This window comes from Homo sapiens, chromosome 10 (genome assembly GCF_000001405.40).
Source record: "Homo sapiens chromosome 10, GRCh38.p14 Primary Assembly".
NCBI lineage: Eukaryota > Metazoa > Chordata > Mammalia > Primates > Hominidae > Homo > Homo sapiens.
Genome location: NC_000010.11, coordinates 79,931,810 through 79,952,276, shown reverse-complemented (window position 1 = coordinate 79,952,276; position 20,467 = coordinate 79,931,810). Strand labels below are relative to the sequence as shown.

Genomic DNA, 20,467 nt, shown 5'->3' with positions numbered 1-20,467 from the left:
TGGGGGCAGCTGCACTCCCATTGATGGGGTGCCTGCTGGCCAAGCCTTGCACGAAGGGCAGAGTTTATCCTCCTCCCCATATGGAGCAGCAGCATTCCCATAGCAGAATGCAGATGAATATCAGAGCTGCTGAGGGAAGAGGTTCTATCCCAAGGCCATTTTGGTGGTAGCCACAGGACGGGTGTTTTCTGCAGACCTCCATCACACTGCAGCCTGGAGATGAAGGACAATGTCTATCTGAACTGAAGGTCACAAGCTCCGGGACAAGGGTGTTTTAGGAAAGTGGATTGCCTTCCTGCCTTCCCAGGATGTGGAGCTGGTATACTCCTTCCCACTCTGGTGGAGACATCAGTGCCTTTCACCATGAGCTCCCATTTCCACTCCCATCAAGGCAGTTGCTTCTGCTCATAATTGGGGTTTCCCAGGGTGAGCTTGGTCGTTTAGTGCCCCTCAGTTTTGTGTCCCCCTCCAAAGCTTTGTGTTCCCTTCAGGGAATCAGGCCATCCACAGACCAGCCAACTGCCTGTGACAACAGAGATCCCCTCCCAGAAAACAAAGACCAAGTACCCATCAGCTTATGCCACAGCCAGCTTTTATTGGGATGCAGATTGAATTGCACAACCAAATAAAAAACAGGCTGACAGAGGGTATAGTGCTGGGGAATGAGATAAACTTTCAGAGACTTCCACATTCCCAGCCCCTCAGAAGGTAGTATTCCTGCTCATATGCCCAATACATTGCTACTACAATCAGCATAATAAAGCCACCACACAAAAGCTATCTATACAGCATAATAAAGCCACCACACAAAAGCTATCTATGACCAAGGAACTCATACAGAGCTGTGACCCACGGAAGGCACCCAAAATTGAAGCCAAATGATCACACACAACATACAGTCACACCTTCAAAGGGGGAAAAAATCCCATTCAAATGAGAGTAAGTTCAAAAGTAAGAAGTAACGGGTTCTCTAGATGAGAAGAAATCAGCATAAGCACTCTGGAAGTACGAAAAACCAGTATTTTGACATGCCCAAAGGATCACACCAGCTCCCTAGCAATGGATCCTAACCAATATAAAAATTTTGAAATAACAAATAAAGAATTTAAGATATGAGTTGTAAGGAAGCTCAATGAGATACAAGAGAAAGTTGAAAACTAACATAAGGAAATCAGAAAAATAATTCAGGATATTAATGAAAAATTTACAAAAGAGATAGAGATTAAAAAACAAAAACCAAATAGAACTTCTAGAAATAAAAATTTATTGAAGGAACTATAAAATATAGTTGAAACTTTTAGCAAAAGACTAGACCAAGCAGAAGAAATAATTTCAGAGCCTGAAGGCCAGTCATTTGAATTAACCTAGTCAGACAGAAATACAGAAAAAATAAATTTTTAAAAATGAACAAAGACTTTGAAAAATATAGAATTACATAAAGTTACCAAATATACAATATATAGACATTCCTGAGGGAGAAGAAAAAAAATTAAAAGCTTGGAAAACCTATTTGAGGGAATAATTCAGGAAAACTTCCCTGGTCTTGCTAGAGAATTAGACATCCAGATAGGAGATGCTCAGAGAACACCTGGAAGATGCTTTACAAGAGAAACCTCATAAAGGCATATCGTCATCAGACTATCCAAAGTCAATGTGAAGGAAAACATCCTAAAAGCAGCAAGAGAGAAATGTCTAATCTATACAGGAAAACCCAACAGACTAACAATGGACTTCTTAGCAGAAACCTTACAAGCCAGAAGAGATTGGGGTCTTATGTTTAATCTACTTAAACAAAAATCCTGCCAGCCAAGAATTTTGTATCCTGCTAAACTAAGCTGCATAAATGAAGGAGAAATAAAGTTTTTCCCATACAACAAATGCAAAGGGAATTTGTCACCACAAGACCAGCACTACAAGAAATGCTTAAAGTTCTAAACATGGAAATGAATGGACAATACTCCTCATCATAAAAGCACATTAAAGTGAAAAACTCACAGATTATATAAAGCAATTACATAATTGAGACTAAAAAGCAACTGGGTAACAATTATCATGACAGGAACAAAACATCACATATCAATATTAACCTTGATAATAAATGGAGTAAATGTTCCACTTAAAAGATACAGATTGGTGCTGGGTATGATGGCTTACACTTGTAATCTCAGAACTTCGGTAGGCTGAGGCAGGAGAATTGCTTGAGACCAGGAGTTTGAGACCAGCGTGGGCAACAGAGTGAGACCCCATCTCTGTAAAAAATTAAAAAGAGAAATTAGCCAGGTGTGATCATGCTCACCTGTAAAGAGGCTGAGGCAGGACAATCACTTGAGCCCAGGAGTTTGAGGCTGCAGTGAGCTATAAATGCATTATGGCACTCTAGCCTGGGTGACAGAGTGAGACTGTCTCAAAAAAAAAAAAAATACATACAGACTAAAAGATTGGATAAAAGTAGCATCAGCTCAGGGGTCCTAACTAGTTACAAGAACAGTGCACAAGACAAACACCAGCTAAGATGGCAGGGAGAACAAGCCTGAACAAGGCAAGGCAGAGGTCTGCTAAGGGAAATCCATCCCACAAAAGACAAGCAAGGCAGGGGCTCTCTGAGGCCTAGAGCAGCATGCAAAAGAGCAACTCTTTCCAGGTGGCAGCTCCCTAGCTGCTGCCCCCACATGCTGCTGCCTCTGCAGCCACTCTACCTGCCCCACCCCTGCCCAGGTATTCCAAGCAGCTCTCAGCTCTTTCCCAATATCTGGGCAGTGCTGTTGAGACAAAGGAAGAGGAGAAGTGGACACAGCAGGTCTTGGCTCTTAAGATCTGCAGTTGTGAGTTCCTTTTGCAATCGCTGTAGGTCATTGTGCAACCTGCTGGTCTCTGGACTCCTGATTTCTAGACATCTATAAAATACAGACACTGATGATGCCACTTAATTCACAGAGCTGCAGTGAGAAAGGTGCAGATGAGTTCAAGGCCTGATAGTGTTCTGCAAACTATAGTGATGGATGTGCATAGTATTGTGAATATCAGTGGCAGGTTTCCAGAACGCAGGTGGGGATAAGAGTGAGTGAGTCAATAAAGAAGAAAATTGCCCCACTTCTTGAAGGGAGTTTTTGGGGCTGGGCAGCTCAGGGTACAGGGCAGGCATAAATAGTGAGTGCCTGCCAAGCAAAGGCTAGTTTGCTTGGAGCTCCTGGGGCCTAACAAAAAGAAACCTGTAAGTGTCTCTGTTCTTGCCTTCTTTTTATTTTCTCCACATCCTATAAATATCCCTCTGCCGACCTGGGCAATTCAACCTATTGGTGTGGAGGGTCTGTGTAGCTGTTCTGGTCTAGGAGGCATGGGCGCAGGAGGTGGGGAGCACAGGAGGTCTTATGGTGCTCTTCTGCCCCTTATTCAGTGGCCTCAGCCCAGGGGAGGATTTGCTTTCTGAGCTGGGGGTGCACAGGGTGGAAGAGTGGGTGTGACACTATCTAGACCTGGGATGCCACAGTGTGGAAGCTTCAGGTGGAAAAATGCAATGCTAATTTATCTCTAGGCTCTTTTCTGCACTGATTTCTTCAGAAAGGACAGTGGAAGAGAGACAAACCCAGGCACTCACAGGCTGGGGTTCTAAACCCATCCTGGTGCCAACAGCCTGTGGAAAAGCAGGGCAAGCCTGTTTTTCTCATAGCTTCAGGTCTTTACTTTAAAAAATATACTTACTGGAGTAGGTCTCTGATTTTCCAATCCATGTTCAGAGGAGATGGCCTTTTCAATGAAATTGTACTCTGAAAGCTTAGCATAAACTGGGCACTGCAGGGGTTGAGGGGGACCACAACTCTGCCCACTCCATCTGCTGCCCCAGCTAAGATGCCTCATCTGAATCCTGGGCCTGAAAACCCGGGTCTGCCCTCTCCAAGTGTCCTTCAAGCCACAGTGGCTGCTGGTGCCTTCTGTGCCATCTTGAGCCTGTAGACAGAATGCCTATTGCCTTTCATTCTTCCCCAGAATCAGACACAGGGCCTGAGGGGTGAGGGAGCTGCGGGGCACAGAACAATGCCCTTGCTCTGGCCTGGGTCTGGCCCTTGCTGCTCATGATTGAGCCTCTGCCAGAACAGGTGTAACAAGGTAGCCGCTGCTGGCAGTGAGCTCACCCAGGTGTTTCTAGAGACTACCAGGATACCCAAGGAAGTGGTGATTTCAAAATTGAAAGAGGCTAGTGAGAAATAGGGGTCATCCACAGCCCAGAATCACCAGCAGTCAAAGAAGAAGGCACTCCTCTGGGCAGGAAGCCCCCCACTTGCCACCACCCCAGTTGGCCTGGTGACCCCTTTCTTTGCACAAGTCCCTCTGGCTTTGTTCCTAGCCTCTGCGAATCTGATCAGCTCTTTTCACTCTCATAACTTTACGGTTTCTCATTGAGAGAAAAGATACCCAAAACAGTTAATGTCCCAGGTCCTGCTCTTATCCTGGTCTCAGTTCCTGACCATCTTAGATAGTAAATGGGTGCCCTGTTGGGTAGTTGCTCTTGCTTACCCACAACACTAGCTTTCTGCCTGACTGAGCCTACCTGGCATGTCCTCTTTCCATATAAGACTTCTTTTTTTTTCTGAGATGGAGTCTCACTCTCTTGCCCAGGCTGGAGTGCAGTGGCACGATCTCGGCTCACTGCACCCTCCACCTCCCGGGTTCAAGAGATTCTCCTGCCTCAGCCTCCCGAGTAGCTGGGATTACAGCACGCACCACCACATCTGGCTAATTTTTTATACTTTTAGTAGAGATGGGGTTTTGCCATGTTGGCCAGGCTGGTCTCGAACTCCTGACTTCAAGTGATCTGCCCGCCTCGGCCTCCCAAAGTGCTGGGGTTACAGGCATGAGCGACCGTGCCCAGACTCCACATACTTCTTTTCCAAACCCTCTCAGGTCTTAGAAGAACTCTAGGTGTCTCAGGATTTCTCCTACTGCTAGTTTAGTGTCTCTGAAAACTTTCACCTGGGTTCCCTCTGGGACTTTTCTCTAGAGACAGCACCTGCTCGAGGAATGGCAAATTGCCAGGCAAATGTGCACCACACTCCCAGCCTGCGCTCAGGAAGGACATTACTAAGCACTCAGGACTCTGGCTGCATTTTCAGACCAGCACTATCAGCACCAGTGCTAGTCCATGCAAGGCAGCAAGAGAGAAGAAACAGGCTTGCCTTGTCTGAGCTAAGCCAGTTGCCTCAGTGGTACAGACAGGGAGATGGTCTAGGGAGTGGGCGGGGGGTGTCCTGCCCAGAGGCACTCAATGAACCCTTCTTGATGTGACAGATGGCCCCAGTGAGGAATGCTACATCCTAGCCACTGTGCCAAACTTAGTGCCCAAGGGAAGGCACAAGAAGGGAAGACATGAGCACCTGGGAATGGGGGATGCTGCTGTCAACCTATGTCAGAGTTCCAGCTGGGTAACTCATGCTCTCCATCCAGACCTTGTGCCCTCCTTGTCCTTAAACTGCTTTTGGATTCCTGCTGCTCTAGGCCCCATAGCAGAGGACAGAAGGAGGGAATGGGGGCTTCTTGTCACCTCTAGAAGCTGAGCCAAGCCCTAAACCATGTCCATGAAGCATAAGCATGTCTTTTCTCTTTCTGTTCACCTCTCCAGGCCATGCTGCTCTTCCTCCTCTCTGCACTGGTCCTGCTCACACAGCCCCTGGGCTACCTGGAAGCAGAAATGAAGACCTACTCCCACAGAACAATGCCCAGTGCTTGCACCCTGGTCATGTGTAGCTCAGTGGAGAGTGGCCTGCCTGGTCGCGATGGACGGGATGGGAGAGAGGGCCCTCGGGGCGAGAAGGGGGACCCAGGTAGGGTGGGGCCCTGGGCTTATCCTGCTGGGGAGGAATGGTCATTGGAACTGTAACTAGCCCAGCAACTCTGGGTACTTTGTTATGGAAGTCTGGAGACGTGTTTCTTCCTCCCAAGAAGGCGAGTTCCACACTGCTCCACCAGCTGGCAAACAAGTGGCTGTGCTGAGCCCCCATGTGCCTCCTCCAGCACCCAACTGCCCTAGCTCCTCCTCTAGGATCCCCGGATCCTTCCTATCCCAAGAGCAAGCAAACAGTGGTAAATTACTGATATCTGGGGCCTTCTAGAGCCCTGTGCCAGCAGTTAGCAGTTGTTCATTCCAATTAAATGATGCCTGTGCAGGGCATTAAATATTTTAAATATTTAATTAAACACTACTGCATGAAGGGTGGGAAAAAAATGGGGCTCCATGGCTCCATTCTCAAGCCTAATCAAGAGGATTTGCTCTAATACATTACACGGGGAGAAAAGGCACTCACATTTCTTTGTCCACCCTTGTGCTTGGGCATTCACTGGAGTAGTTCATTTAATCCTCCCAAGAGTCTTACAGGGGACATATTAATCTCCTTCGACAGGTAAGAAAATGATGATGCAGAGAGGCTAAGTAGCAACCATTCTGGAGGTGGAAAGGACGAAGGCTCTGCATCAGACTGGCCTGGGCTCCATCTCCACACTGGGAGAGCCCCTCAGTGTCACTGAGTCTGTTTTTTTTATCTGGTAATGGGAATGATATCTACCACCCAGTGATGAATCATTGAGCCAAAGGCTTTATTTTTTCTTGAGTCTTTGGGATAAAGTTGCATTTTCTGCTGTACCTAATAGGTGAATTATCTTGAGCTTAGCAGAGGTACTGATGAGTAAGGGAATTGTCCCTGGAAATACTGCTCCCCGCTTGTAGGGAAAGATCTAGGTCTTACTGGCAAGAAAGGAGAATTCCATCAGCCAGCAGCATGAACTGAGGGACCTCTATGACATTGGGCAGGGCTTCAAAGGGATCAGATACAGTCTTTAACTTTCTGGAAAGACGAAGCAATATCCCCAGGCTTTGTGGGGTAAGGGGCAAGTAAGCATCTGCCTATCCCTTACAGACAGAAAGTGGCTCCCAACGTGAATGGGATGGGGCTTGGGGAGGGCTGTCCAGGGGGGATCCCAGAATGGGGGTGGGGTTCATCTTGGCAGCTCTTTCTCAGAGATTCCCAACTCAGTCTGGCCTCCAGTGGGGCCCCGGATTTGAATCTCAGGGATCTTTCCCACAATGGCCCTGGGAGCTTGCTGCCTGAAGCATGGTCAAGGCCTCCCTTCCCCACATATGTGCCTCAACCCATGCACATTCCAGGCCTGGCTTTGGGTCAGTACTTGGACACAGGACAGAACACGGTGGGGCTACAGGATGAGGCTCCACTCTGGCTTCTCAATCGCAGTCTCTCCAGTCACTCCACTGTTACAGGTCTGAGGGCTGGGTTCCCTCAGAATCCTCAGCATCCTCAGAATCTACCCAGAATAGGTCTCTGTGGGCCAAAGTCTGTGCTTGTGACAACCACCCCTGCAGAGTTGGAAGCATGTGGTTCCCAGAATCTGCTACGAGGAAAATTGGGGCTTGAAAGAAGAGATCTTTGAGCAGGGGTGGAGGGTGAAGCTTGAGTCACTCTGGTGACATCCCCGACGTATCATGGAGGGTAAATATGACCCAGATCCTGCCTTTGTGGGGAACAATTCCTTATTCCTCAGCACCTTCAGCATTCCTGCTCAGCAATATTCCGTGGGGGAGTCCCACCAGGGATGCTCGTCTCCCTTGGACAAATCACACACCTTACAGCAGCCCATGAGTCCCGGCAGGACCACCCTGTACCCCTGTACCCCTGCTGCTCCTCTGAATTTGGTGCTGCCACCCCTACTCAGCTCCAACCACATAGCTTCTTTCTGGCCCCCGGTCACGCTCAGCCTCCTCCCTCTTTAGGGGCTTGCCATTTGCTCTTCTCATAGCTGTCCCTGCAGCTCATACTTCACCTCCTTCAGGACTTTACTCCCGGATCACCTTCTCAGTGAGGCACTCCCCGACCACCCTACCAAAAACAGACCCTACCCCCAACACACCCTATGCTTTACTTTTCCCTGTGGCATTATATCTAACATATCATATGTTGTACATTTTTAATGTTTTATTATCTGTTTCTATGAGATAGAGTTGAAGCTCCCCAGAGAAGGGCTGTTTATCCCCAGTATTTAGGACAGTGCCTGGCATGTATTAGAGGCTCCAGAGATATTTATGGAGTGAGTGAATGGAAGCTGGAAGGGGTGGAGGAATTTTAGGAGTCAAAACAGGCAAAAGGCTGGGCCATAAAGCTCCACTTCAGGTGGCACTCGGGTGCAGGTCTAGGTCTCTGGGTACACTACGATACACAGTGAGTGTTTTGAAAGGCATGGGTGCAGCATTTGGGGAGGTGCCCCTCCTCCACCCTGGTGCTCTCATGGCCTCCATAGTTTGTGTACCAAGAACAAGTGGGCTCTAACACTCTCTTCTGGAGAGTGACATTTTTCTCTTGGTCCATCTTCCTGCTGCTGACTTGGCCTGGGTGAAGCCCAAGCAAGGCTCCACATGGGGTCAGGGCATCCTGCCTTGAGGAAAATGTGCTGTTGGGTGTCAGAGGTGGGGCCCATCCTATAACCCTCTGTGCTTCCATTTCATCCCTAATAAGGACTGTAACCAGTGGCTGGACCCAGGGCACGGAATTCCACTGGGCATGGAATTCAGATGTTTCCAGGTGGTGGTGCTGCTGGGATACGCCAGCACAGATTCTTCCACCCATCCAGCAAATTTACCCACAACCACATGCTCACCCCCCATGGAGGCCTGGCCTCCTCTGCCACGGGAGCATGGCTTCCAAGCCTGAAATGTCACCTCCTCTCTGCAAATCTCCCTCGATTCTCCTTGCTCTTAAAATCCCACTTTCTCTTTGAAGAAGAAAGCTCTGAGTGTGTGAGTGCTGGGGTGGGGACGCTCAGATGAGATGAGGGACACTTCATGCATTGTCCTTCCTCTCCCTTGTCTCACAGTGTATTATGAACCCCCTGCTGAGCAGGACCTGAGGCTAAGCTCAGATTTGCATCTTGCCTAGTGCTAGGTATAAAGTAGATGCTGCATAGATGGCTCTTAGTGAACAAATAAATGAGCAAATCGACCAATAACTGAATGAACAAGTTAGCACCACCTGTCTGGTGCCATTTCTGGTTGGCTTCCCTAATATATATATATGGAATGCAAGAAGTCCATGATCACAGGTAAGAGCTGACAAATTGCCTGCCATCAATACAGTGGCCTTGGGGTAGGGGAAGGAGCACCGCATAGAAGGTCAGGCAGGTCTTGGCTTTAATCCGCCTCCAACTCTGGAAGGCTTCTTCCTCATCTATAAAATGGGGATGTTGATACCCATTTCCTGGATCACCACTGGGCCTGGGTGTGTGACGGTGGAAGTCTCATGCTCTGCAGAATCCTAAAGGAATGCTAGGGGCTGATCCTGCAGGAGGCTGGCCCTTTCTGGGTCTAGGGCCAGGTCTTTGTCCATTTCTTCTGCTGCTACAGGTTTGCCAGGAGCTGCAGGGCAAGCAGGGATGCCTGGACAAGCTGGCCCAGTTGGGCCCAAAGGGGACAATGGCTCTGTTGGAGAACCTGGACCAAAGGGAGACACTGGGCCAAGTGGTGAGCAACTGGGTGTCGACTTCAGGTGTTTCCAGGTGGTGGTGCAGCTGCAAGGATATGCCAGTGGGCACGCACAGAGCCCATCCCAGGAAGAAGGTTGTCTGAAGGTGGCACTGGGTCATTTCAGGACAGATGGGACCTGCTGTTGGGAGGACAACAATGCTGCCTCCCTTACCTCTGTTATTACCCTCACCTTACTACACACTCCTCCTGCCAAGAGGATTCATTGTTACTGACCGGGCTGGTGCTTTTGCTCAGGACCTCCAGGACCTCCCGGTGTGCCTGGTCCAGCTGGAAGAGAAGGTCCCCTGGGGAAGCAGGGGAACATAGGACCTCAGGGCAAGCCAGGCCCAAAAGGAGAAGCTGGGCCCAAAGGTAGGTGGCTGGTCTGTGGCCAGTCTGAGAAGGGAAAGGAGGAAGGACAAGGGTCCATGATATGACCTGAGGCGTGCTCAGAGTGCCAGGGAGAGCCCAGACCCTTGATGCTGCAAAGGCTTGCCATGCACCCTCCCAATCCCCACAACTGCAATATTTTCCTCTCACCCTCCACAGAGGAGCCCCAGAAAGCAAGGAGAGTCTCCCCACTTCTCTCTCTGACCCTAAAGTTGCGGGCAAAAAGCTCCATTGCTAACAAAACCACACCTGCTGAACGCGCTCTTAGCTGTGTTTGTTCCTGTGTGTTCCTTCTTCAGGAGAAGTAGGTGCCCCAGGCATGCAGGGCTCGGCAGGGGCAAGAGGCCTCGCAGGCCCTAAGGGAGAGCGAGGTGTCCCTGGTGAGCGTGGAGTCCCTGGAAACACAGGGGCAGCAGGTGAGCAGTGGAAAGAGCTGGGCTGGGCTGGGTCCAGTTCTCCTGTGCCTGCTTGGAGCTGTCAATGCCTACACCCCCTCCACCACCCACAAAGGCAGAGGTGGTATCGCTGGAACATGGAGAGAATCTGTATCCAAGAAGGGTGCATGAGGGGGCTCTGGGGACTGTTCCTATCTAGGGAGAGTGAGGCGCAAGCAATGGAGAAGTCTGTATACAGGGAAGGTTAGTTGTTGGGTGGCGGGGCAGTTTTCCACAGCGGGGTTGATTGCTGGGTGACAGGGACAGTCAGTGTACAGGGAGCTGCATGGCTGGGTACTGGGGACCATCTGTCTATTTCTGGGCAATAAGGATAGTTAGTCCATGTATGGGAAGGTAAAAATGCTAAAAACAAAAAAAATAAAATGAGTACATAGCTCACCCAGTTCTTCTTTTACCCCAGGGTCTGCTGGAGCCATGGGTCCCCAGGGAAGTCCAGGTGCCAGGGGACCCCCGGGATTGAAGGGGGACAAAGGCATTCCTGGAGACAAAGGAGCAAAGGGAGAAAGTGGGCTTCCAGGTAAGGTAGCAGCTCCTGGCCCAGGGAAGCCCCGCTGGGGCATGGGTGGGCAGAGAGGAAGCCCTCCTCATCCCAGAGGAGGGGCTCTGGGATGTGTGCCCCATTAATGGCAGCTGGTGGGTGGAACTCAGGAAAGGCGGACAGGCTGGAAGGCAGGAGCATGGGGCTCTGGTCTTAGCCACTTAGTACTCATGGGAAAGCAACCTGGGCAGCTTCTCCATCTGACTATCGGGAAAACTACAACTGCCTTCCCAATTCATAGGACAGTTTTGGGCATTAAAAACCCAGTGGATAGGAAACACATGAGTGTGTATTCCTGCCCAGCAACCCCCCCACCCACCCAATGGAGATGCCATTATATTCCAAGACTTTAAAGTCACAATGTCATCTGGTTCAGTGTCAGTGAAGTACAGGCAGCAATTTGTTCATAGCAGAACCATAAGACATCCTTACACAGCAGAGGCCAGCTGTGTCAGTAGATGTGGGCTTGCTGTGGGTCAGCCCCACAATATGTGCCCGAAACTAGACACCCTTCCTTTGGGGCCCAGACTCTGAGCTCTTCCTTCGCTCTCTGGACAAGTCTTTACTTGGCCATTTTCTCCCCTCCAGATGTTGCTTCTCTGAGGCAGCAGGTTGAGGCCTTACAGGGACAAGTACAGCACCTCCAGGCTGCTTTCTCTCAGTATAAGAAAGGTGAGTTCCTGGATCTGAACCTGGACCCAGCACTGGCATTGGGCCCCACACTAGATCTTGACCTTGGTTTGGCCTTTGGCTGGGGCTAGACCTTTGGCTGGACCTGAGGCAGAGCCTGCCCTGGGTCTAGGATGGGAATGAGCTGGGACCTGTGTAGGGCTGGACCTGGGACTGTGGCAGGGGGTAGGGCTCAGGCTGGGATGGGGCTAGAAGAGGGCAGCCACCTGCTCCTGGAGCTCAAAGTAGATCCAAGGGGGCAAAGGAGGAGGATGTGGCCCCTATCACCAGCTCACCAGGCTGGCAGTAGCATAGTTAAGGCCATCAGGCTCCTGAACTACCCACCAACCTCAATGCCACCTGTGCCCTGAGATAAATTGTTGTCCTGAGTCCAGTGCAATTCAGTAGAGCCTCTCTCCTGCCTACTTTGTGCTGGTCCCTCTGATAGATAAGGGGCTACCCAACACGGGCTGCATTTCTTAGCTCAGAGGGGCCAGGTATGGGAGTCCCCAGTGATGCTGCTGCACATCCCAAGGCAGCCCAGAAACCAGATACTGTTCTGGGAACTAGGACTGGGGTTCTGCTCTGGGGGTACAAGGCAGGTGGGGGCCTGACCTTGGTATGTGGCCATCAGATATCTCACCTTAGACGTGCTCTTGGTTCAAATAGGGGGCAGGCTGCTTCTGGGCTCCAGCCACTGCTGGGCTCTACCTGCAGCTCTGGAGGTATTTTAAAGCAGACTTTGCCCTAACCCTGGAATCCTGAAGAGTCAGAGGCCTCCAGGGACACACAGCTGAGGGCCTGGTGCCTTTTTGAATCTCCACATCAGTGCCCAACTGCCCCTACTCTCCTCCGCCTTTCCTGATATCAGCTTTGAGTTCAGGCGCATCTCATTGAGCCAAAAAATAAAAGATTAAAGTTTTCTGAAGTAGTAGAGCATAAAAGGGCTGACTGGGTGCAACACAGGTTTGGCTTCTAAGTACCCAAGCTCTGAAATGAGAGTTTCAAGCATTTGGTATATATCTCTTTCTGCATATGCTCTAATTCACTCAGAGGCACAGTGACAGAAACACACAGAGGAACATGTCCATATGCACCCACTGCATGTGTGTGCACTTAAACACCATCACTCACTCCACCTCCATCTACATACATGAGCTCATATGTTGTCTATATAGCACACACAAATATGCACACACATCCAGATGAACCTTACATACTCCCACGTACCTTTGGGTAGATGCACATATATTCAAAGGCATGCCCACATATGTGCATGGCACATAAACTTAGTAATGGTACATGAACTCTTATGCTGACTTTGTTCAGGGCTGCTCTGGGTGCCACCCTGAGCCCATGGAGAATCTTAAGGACGATGAGTCAGGGTGCAGCCTGCATTCTGAGCAGCCCAACAAAGCCAGGGGCACAGCCTTCTCTGGAGCTTCCAGTGTCCTTTGCGGAAGATTTCCATGCATGGGCCCAAGAGCCACAAAGACAGACTAAAAAGAGATACTTGACATGTCACACAGGCAATGCTTTTGTGAAGTGAGCCCTCATTTTAGAGATGAGGAAATGGAAACCCTGAAAAGGGAAGTGACTTTCCCTTGCCCACGCAACAGCTTTTGTGAAGTGAGCCCTCATTTTAGAGATGAGGAAATGGAAACCCTGAAAAGGGAAGTGACTTTCCCTTGCCCACGCAATGTGGATCTGAATGCCTGGTCTTCCAGTTCCCACCCAGGGCTGTCTCCAGCACTAACACCACTCCCCTGCGCCTCACTCACACATGCCCTTCAGATGCTCTCCTCCACTCCCTCAGCACCTCCCAGGCAGGCTGACTGGCTAGGACATCATCCATGTGCATACTAAGAGGCCGACATGAGGCCAGACCCAGAGCAGAGATTAGCATCTGACAGCTTTCAGATGTCCTCTCCTCTTCCTGTCTCTCCCCTTTCATCACCCCATCACACAGCACAGACCCTCTCCGACAACCCCACATCCCCTACTGTTGTACAGGGTGACAGTGGGCTAACTGCAGGTGTTTTCTGTACTCTCAGAAACTGGCCTGGTCTACACTGTGATCAACTTGGGAAAAATTGTTCACTTCTACCTAGTAATTGAGAAATCAATTCTAGTATATAGCATGTGCCAAAATAGAAAGAGCATGTCTGAGCTTTGGTGTCAGACTGAGTGAGGTTGAATTCCTAACTGCACGTTTGCTGCTTGTGTGACTTTGAGCCTCTTAGCTTCTCTAAACTCCAGTACTCTCATCTGTAAGTGGGGAATCATGGTGTCACCTCACAGGGTAGGTCATGGGACGGGGGCTGTTCTGGAACAATCTCTCTTGCATTCTCTCTGGCATCCTGATGCGGTGCCTGTTTGGGAGGTCTGAAAGGCTCAGGTTGGAGCACAGAGGTCTCACAGCCCCTGAGCTTTGGCCAGGTGATGCCACAACCCCAACCTGACTTTCTTCTTCTCCTAGTTGAGCTCTTCCCAAATGGCCAAAGTGTCGGGGAGAAGATTTTCAAGACAGCAGGCTTTGTAAAACCATTTACGGAGGCACAGCTGCTGTGCACACAGGCTGGTGGACAGTTGGCCTCTCCACGCTCTGCCGCTGAGAATGCCGCCTTGCAACAGCTGGTCGTAGCTAAGAACGAGGCTGCTTTCCTGAGCATGACTGATTCCAAGACAGAGGGCAAGTTCACCTACCCCACAGGAGAGTCCCTGGTCTATTCCAACTGGGCCCCAGGGGAGCCCAACGATGATGGCGGGTCAGAGGACTGTGTGGAGATCTTCACCAATGGCAAGTGGAATGACAGGGCTTGTGGAGAAAAGCGTCTTGTGGTCTGCGAGTTCTGAGCCAACTGGGGTGGGTGGGGCAGTGCTTGGCCCAGGAGTTTGGCCAGAAGTCAAGGCTTAGACCCTCATGCTGCCAATATCCTAATAAAAAGGTGACCATCTGTGCCGGGAAGGACTTCTCTCCAGAATGTGGCCAAAAGTTACAGCTGCTGCAGGACACCACAGAGTGAAATGTGAGGCTTCCTTCACACTAAAACTCCTTTCAGGGGAAGAAGGGGCCAGCCTACTTTCCCTATAAGGGATAAAAGTGGGTCTCCAATGACCTTCCTGTCCCTAAACCCAAAGACTCCTTTTCAGGCCCTTTTCTCAAACCATCAGCTGCATTTGACCCTGCAGATCTCTCCCTCCTCTTTCAAGCACTTCCTCCTCCCAGCTTCACAGATACCACTCTTGCCTGGTCTCTTTTTTTTGTTTGAGACTGGGTCTCACTCTGTCACCAATATCGGAGTGCAGTGGTGCGATCTGGGCTCACCGCAACCTCTGTCTCCCAAGTAGCTGAGACCACAGGCATGAGACATCACGCCCGGCTAATTTTTTGTATTTTTGGTAGAGATGATGTTTTGCCATGTTGCTCAGGCTGGTCTCGAACTCCTGGGCTCAAGTGATCTGCCTGCCTTGGCCTCCCAAAGTGCTGGGATTACAGGTGTAGACCACCGCCCCTGGCCCCTTATTAGTCTTTTTAACTTGTCCCTCTTTCTCTCCTTGACCATTTAATGGTGCAGTGCCAAAGTCTCAGCTCTCAGCTGTCTTCTCTTCTTACACTCACTCCAGAGATGAGCTCATCCTGTCCCCTCATTCAAATTCCTTCTGGAGGCTGGTGGCTCCCCTGCAGATGTATCCCTATTCAGCACCTCTTCCTGAACCCCGGATTCCTCTAGCCAGTTCTGGCTGGAGCCCAGGGATAAAAGGAGGCTCCCAGCCTCCATTGCTGCCTCTTATTTCAAGGTCTGAGCCCAGGAAGCTGCACAGCATGGCAGGGTGACCTGGCAGAGAATGTCTGCCTCCCCAGCCAGGCCACATGGCCCTGCACTCAGTAGGCCCTTCCTCACCCCTGCACTGCCCAGGATCTCTCTCCATCACTGCCAACATGACTGCCTCTTGACTCATGGGAGGAGTACCAGCTGCACAATCCTAAAGCTGTCTGAAATCTTAGGGAACTTTGGAACAAAGGGTCTCTGGCCAAGCTCCGATTTACCTCCAATCCTCTTCTTGCCTGGTGATTCCAGGAATGTTCTTTCCCCATTCAACCTTAGAGATAATCTAGTTAAATCCTCCTCGTCATTTTCCAAATATGAAAACCAAGGCACAGAGAGGGATGAACCTGTGCAGGGACAAAAGGGGGTGTCAGTGTTACAGCTGGGTCATTAGCAAGGTCATTTTGACCCTAAAGCCCATACATTTAGGCTGTAAATATATAGGCCAAAGATCATGCATATTTAGTTGATTTGACATATTATTGCACATAATGATTTAAATGACACCTGTGTTCAAAAGATGTCAGTGACACCTGGATGAACCATGGCCCCATAAAAGGGGCAAACAAGGCTGGGCGTGGTGGCTCATGCCTGTAATCCCAGAACTTTGGGAGGCCGAGGCGGGCGGATCATGCTGTCAGGTGAAACCCCTGTCAGGTGAAACACGGTGAAACCCCGTCTCTACTAAAAATACAAAAAATTAGCTGGGCGCGGTGGTGGACGCCTGTAGTCCCAGCTACTCGGGAGGCTGAGGCAGGAGAATGGTGTGAACCTGGGAGGCGGATCATGCTGTCAGGAGATAGAAACCATCCTAGTTAACACGGTGAAACCCCGTCTCTACTAAAAATACAAAAAATTAGCTGGGCGCGGTGGTGGGCGCCTGTAGTCCCAGCTACTCAGGAGGCTGAGGCAGGAGAATGGTGTGAACCTGGGAGGCGGAGCTTGCAGTGAGCTGAGATTGCGCCACTGCACTCTGGCCTGGGCGAAAGAGCGAGACTCCATCTCAAAAAAAAAAAAGGGGGGGGGCAAACAACCTCTTTCCTGATAGAAAATCAGCCACTCTCTCCTTAGTTTACACAAACCAGGGAGACTTCTCTTTCTGGATGGGACCCCCCAGTCCCATCCCTCTTCCCGACACTCCTACATTTCATATATAGGACAACATGTCTATAAAACAAAAGCCACACTTCAAGACAGCATGCAGCCCAGGTTCTCTGCTAAGATCATTCTCCAGTTACTGAAAAAAAAAAAACCCAAATTTGTGGCAGCTTCTGAAATATAAGTCAGTTACACAATAATGAGCAAACTACTCAGAGACCACACCGAAACACATTCATCGAGGGAGCTCAGAATGGCTTTTTTATTACAAGTAAGAGAAAACACTTGGATGTAGCATAAACCAAGAGAAGTGTTTTTTTCTCTGAATAAAGGGTTCCAAATGGGCTTAAAAAGGACTAGGGGGACTCAGGTAATGGCATGCTCTCTCCCTGGCTTCTGCTTCTCCCTGTGCATCTTTGCATCTTTCCCTCTTTTGCACACCAGCTTCCTCTGCTTCCTGGTCTCTTGACTACCCAAGCATTAAGAATCATGTGTCCTAAAGACGGCTGCACAGAAATCAGAAACTCTCCAATGGGATCAATTGGAAACTCCTGTGGAAATGAGTCTTTCTGTCTCAGATGCCCACCTCTGGTCCAATCAACTAAACTTGGGGAGTGGGTCCCGTGGTACAATATGGCCACTGGGATAGATGCAAGATCATGATGGTCTGGGAAGACCCCCTGAAAGTGACCACTACCTACCCCAATACTTAAGCCAAACCTACTTCTTGCTAAGGGAAAAGTCAGCGTAGTTGAAGTGTGTGGAGAGAAAAAAATCTCCTATGATGTTGAAGGCCTGGAATGTGGATACTTCAAACCCCAAGAAGAAGCTTCAGATCCATCAGTGCCATGGGCCACAGGGGTCTGGTTTGCTCTCCAGCACAGAGAACAAGCAGGGAGGGCCATTTGAGATCTGTAGGCACAGGCTGATTGGAATAGGGGACTGAAGCAGTTATTTCAGAAATTCAGGTCCTAACCAGTTCCTGAGCACAGAGGTCTCCCCTGCACTAACACACATGGGCCAAGGTCAACACAGATCTCAGTGTCTGCCCCACCTTAACTGTAGCAGTCAGGGTCCCTTGTTTAGTAGCCTGTGTGTCAAGTGATTTGCACTCTCAGGTGATGTTGTGACTCTCACCATGGACACCATGAGAGCAGGCTGGGACCCATCCATGTCTGAAGCGGGGACTTTCACAGCAGTTTCATAGAGAAACCCCTGTTCAGTTAAAAAGTACACTCTCAAGTCTCATCCTGGTTTTCAACCTTCTGTCACCAACCCAGTCCACATTCCATAATGAGCAGCTGATGTGGAGCCCTCTGACGTTTGCTTTTCTAGGATCCTGTCTATGTTCTGAATCCCCTTGATACACATCACTGAAACTTGAGTGGCGTAAGTTCAGGGCATTCTCAACCACTCTTCCTTTCCAGATGTTCACCTTAAAATTCAAGTTTAATGATGTGCTTGACATTTTCAAGTTACCTACCTAGAGCAAAGAAACTAGTTATCTATTAGAGAAATGCAGTCTTAATCTGTATGTCAAATATTTATCCAGGCATTGGATACAAAGATTGACATGGCTAGTCATGCCCTCGTGATCCTGCACTTCCCTAACATAACAAGATGAGTAAGCTGCAGGATTGTTCTGGCAATGGACAATAGCGGTGCTCAACAAGTGGATTTAGAATGAATGGACGGATGATAAGAGTTTTAACCATGAGAATAGAGAAGAGACCTCTCTTTGTGCAATTACCAAGCCACTCAGAGATCAAAGCAGTCTTCATTACTGTCCACTCTAATTGCCTGTGACTATTAGACCTCTCTATGGCTAACAGCAGGCCTGGCATCTTATGGTAGGTTTTACTGTTTCTCGCCAATCTTTCACTGAGAGGACTTTTGAAGGCAGGCATGAACCTGTGATGTGGGTCACTCCTGGGGAGAAGCAGAAAAGAGTGGGTATACATTTCTAAAATGCCCTCTCGTCTGCTGCCATGTCTTCTGTGATTATAGACAGATTGGTAGATATAAAGTTCTTGTACAAGGCCAGGTGCGGTGGCTCACGTCTATAATCCCAGCACTTTGGGAGGCCGAGGCGGCTGGATCACTTTGAGGTCAGGAGTTCAAGACCAGCCTGACCAACATGGGCAAAACCCTGTCTCTCCTAAAAATACAAAAATTAGTTGGGAGTGCTGGCACGTGCCTGTAATCCCAGCTACTTGGGAAGCTGAGAAGGGAGAATCACTTGAACCCGTGAGGTGGAGGTTGCAGTGGGCAGAGATTGCGCCACTGCACTCCAGCCTAGGCGACAGAGTGAGACCCTGTCTCAATAATAATAATAATAATAATAATAATAATAATAAAGTTGTTGTACAATCAAACATTCTGGAACCTGAGCAGATGCATGGAAAGCAACTGCCTGGATCTAGGCAATGGACTTGTACTCTGAGTGATATTTGGGGGTTGTTACTGCAGCACCCATCCTTCCTGGATACATTTGAATATTAACATGTTTGCCCTCTATTTACTTAAGAGTCTGTAGGCAATCTCAGACTACCTGGCTGAAACACCTTTGAGCCACAGAGAGGGACTTAGCAGCACCCTGCCTGAGCAGAATGGTCCTTATGTAAGTCCTGTTTGTAGGGTTGAATAAAGTGTTTTTAAGATGTCTCTAGGCCCTTTGATCTGAGGAAATTGCAGAGTGGCCTCATTGCCAGCCCTTGTACATATTTATTTTTTAATTCCCTTAATACTTCATTTGAAGCGTAAGTGCCTGGGGCCAGGCCAGGGCTGAAAGTTCTGATGACAACTTCAGGCCAAGCAAACGCATTCTGTGACCAGAGGGAAGGATCAGGGCAGGAAGGGGATGCTTGGCCCCCAGCTAGAGAGACGGCCTGAGAGAACAGAGAGAGGATGAGAGGGATGGGGATCCCGCAGAGAACCTAGACACTTACTGTACCCCTATACAATGTTCACAGGAAAGAAAAGAGGGAGTGGAGGAAGGTGTGAGGACTTCATGAAGTGATTCTAAAGCTCTTATGAAAGAATGACTCTCAAGGGTTAGGAAAATTGCTTAAAATAGGATAACTAGGATGAACTTGACCCATCTATGTTAGAGGGTTTTATAAAACTAGCATAATTGAAGTTGTATATTAATGACACAGAAATAGAACAATGAAGAAGAATAGAAAGGCTAAAAATGGGCTCAAGTATGTATATATACACGTATGTGTTCTATATGCATGATAAAGAGAGAATGCCAAAATCATAGGAAAACAATGACTTACCAATGAATCATTCTGGGTTAAATAAACATTTAGAGGAAGTGTAAAATCAGATTATTTTATTACATATACAAATTAAAATTAGAAGAAAATATAAGTAACAATTTATGTAGTCTTGGAAGGAAAAAGAGCTATCTAAGAATGTTATCAGACAGGGGAACCCAAAGTGATAATATTGATATATCTGACTACATAAGAAATACGTAAAACTTTTCTACTGAAAAGTAAAACACAATGTAAAAGAAAAGTGGTTATGTATTTGCAATGTACACAACAGATAAATCAATAAGAAAATAATGAATATCTAAATAGGAAAATGGCATAAGAATGAGAAGAGGAAATTCATAAAGGAAGAAATACTAATGGCCAATAGTACTGATACGTGAAAAATGCATAATCTTAGTAGTAATTTTTAAACCTTAATGAAACAGTAATATGTATCCCAAAATCTATGAGATAGAGTTACAGCTATACTCAGAGGAAATAAGTAACTTTGCTTTCATTACTAAAATTTTAAAAATAAAAAAACATGGACTGAAAATAGTTGAACTAAGTGTTCATCTTCTTAAAACAAATTTTTAAAACAACAAAAAAAGGACAAAACAAATAAATATAAAAGTGAAATTAATGAAATATAAAACAAATGACAATAATAGAAATAAGTTGGGCATGGTGGCTCATACCTGTTATCC

At 48.4% G+C, this 20,467-nt stretch overlaps 1 protein-coding gene across 3 annotated transcripts in view; it reads left to right on the top strand.

Annotated features, from left to right (window-relative positions):
- The window catches only part of SFTPD (surfactant protein D), a 44,644-nt gene extending 30,107 nt beyond the window's left edge, over positions 1–14,537 (top strand). The window contains exons 1-8 of one of the 3 annotated variants that reach the window (NM_003019.5): positions 3,172–3,211; positions 5,615–5,816; positions 9,398–9,514; positions 9,773–9,889; positions 10,207–10,323; positions 10,763–10,879; positions 11,489–11,572; positions 14,049–14,537. In NM_003019.5, coding sequence (NP_003010.4) covers positions 5,618–5,816; positions 9,398–9,514; positions 9,773–9,889; positions 10,207–10,323; positions 10,763–10,879; positions 11,489–11,572; positions 14,049–14,425 — 1,128 coding nt within the window. In that variant the 5' untranslated portion in view covers positions 3,172–3,211; positions 5,615–5,617 and the 3' untranslated portion in view covers positions 14,426–14,537. Of the gene's footprint in view, positions 1–3,171; positions 3,212–5,614; positions 5,817–9,397; positions 9,515–9,772; positions 9,890–10,206; positions 10,324–10,762; positions 10,880–11,488; positions 11,573–14,048 lie in introns of those variants that run through there. The other 2 variants (XM_011540087.2, XM_011540088.3) reach the window with 2 other exon arrangements.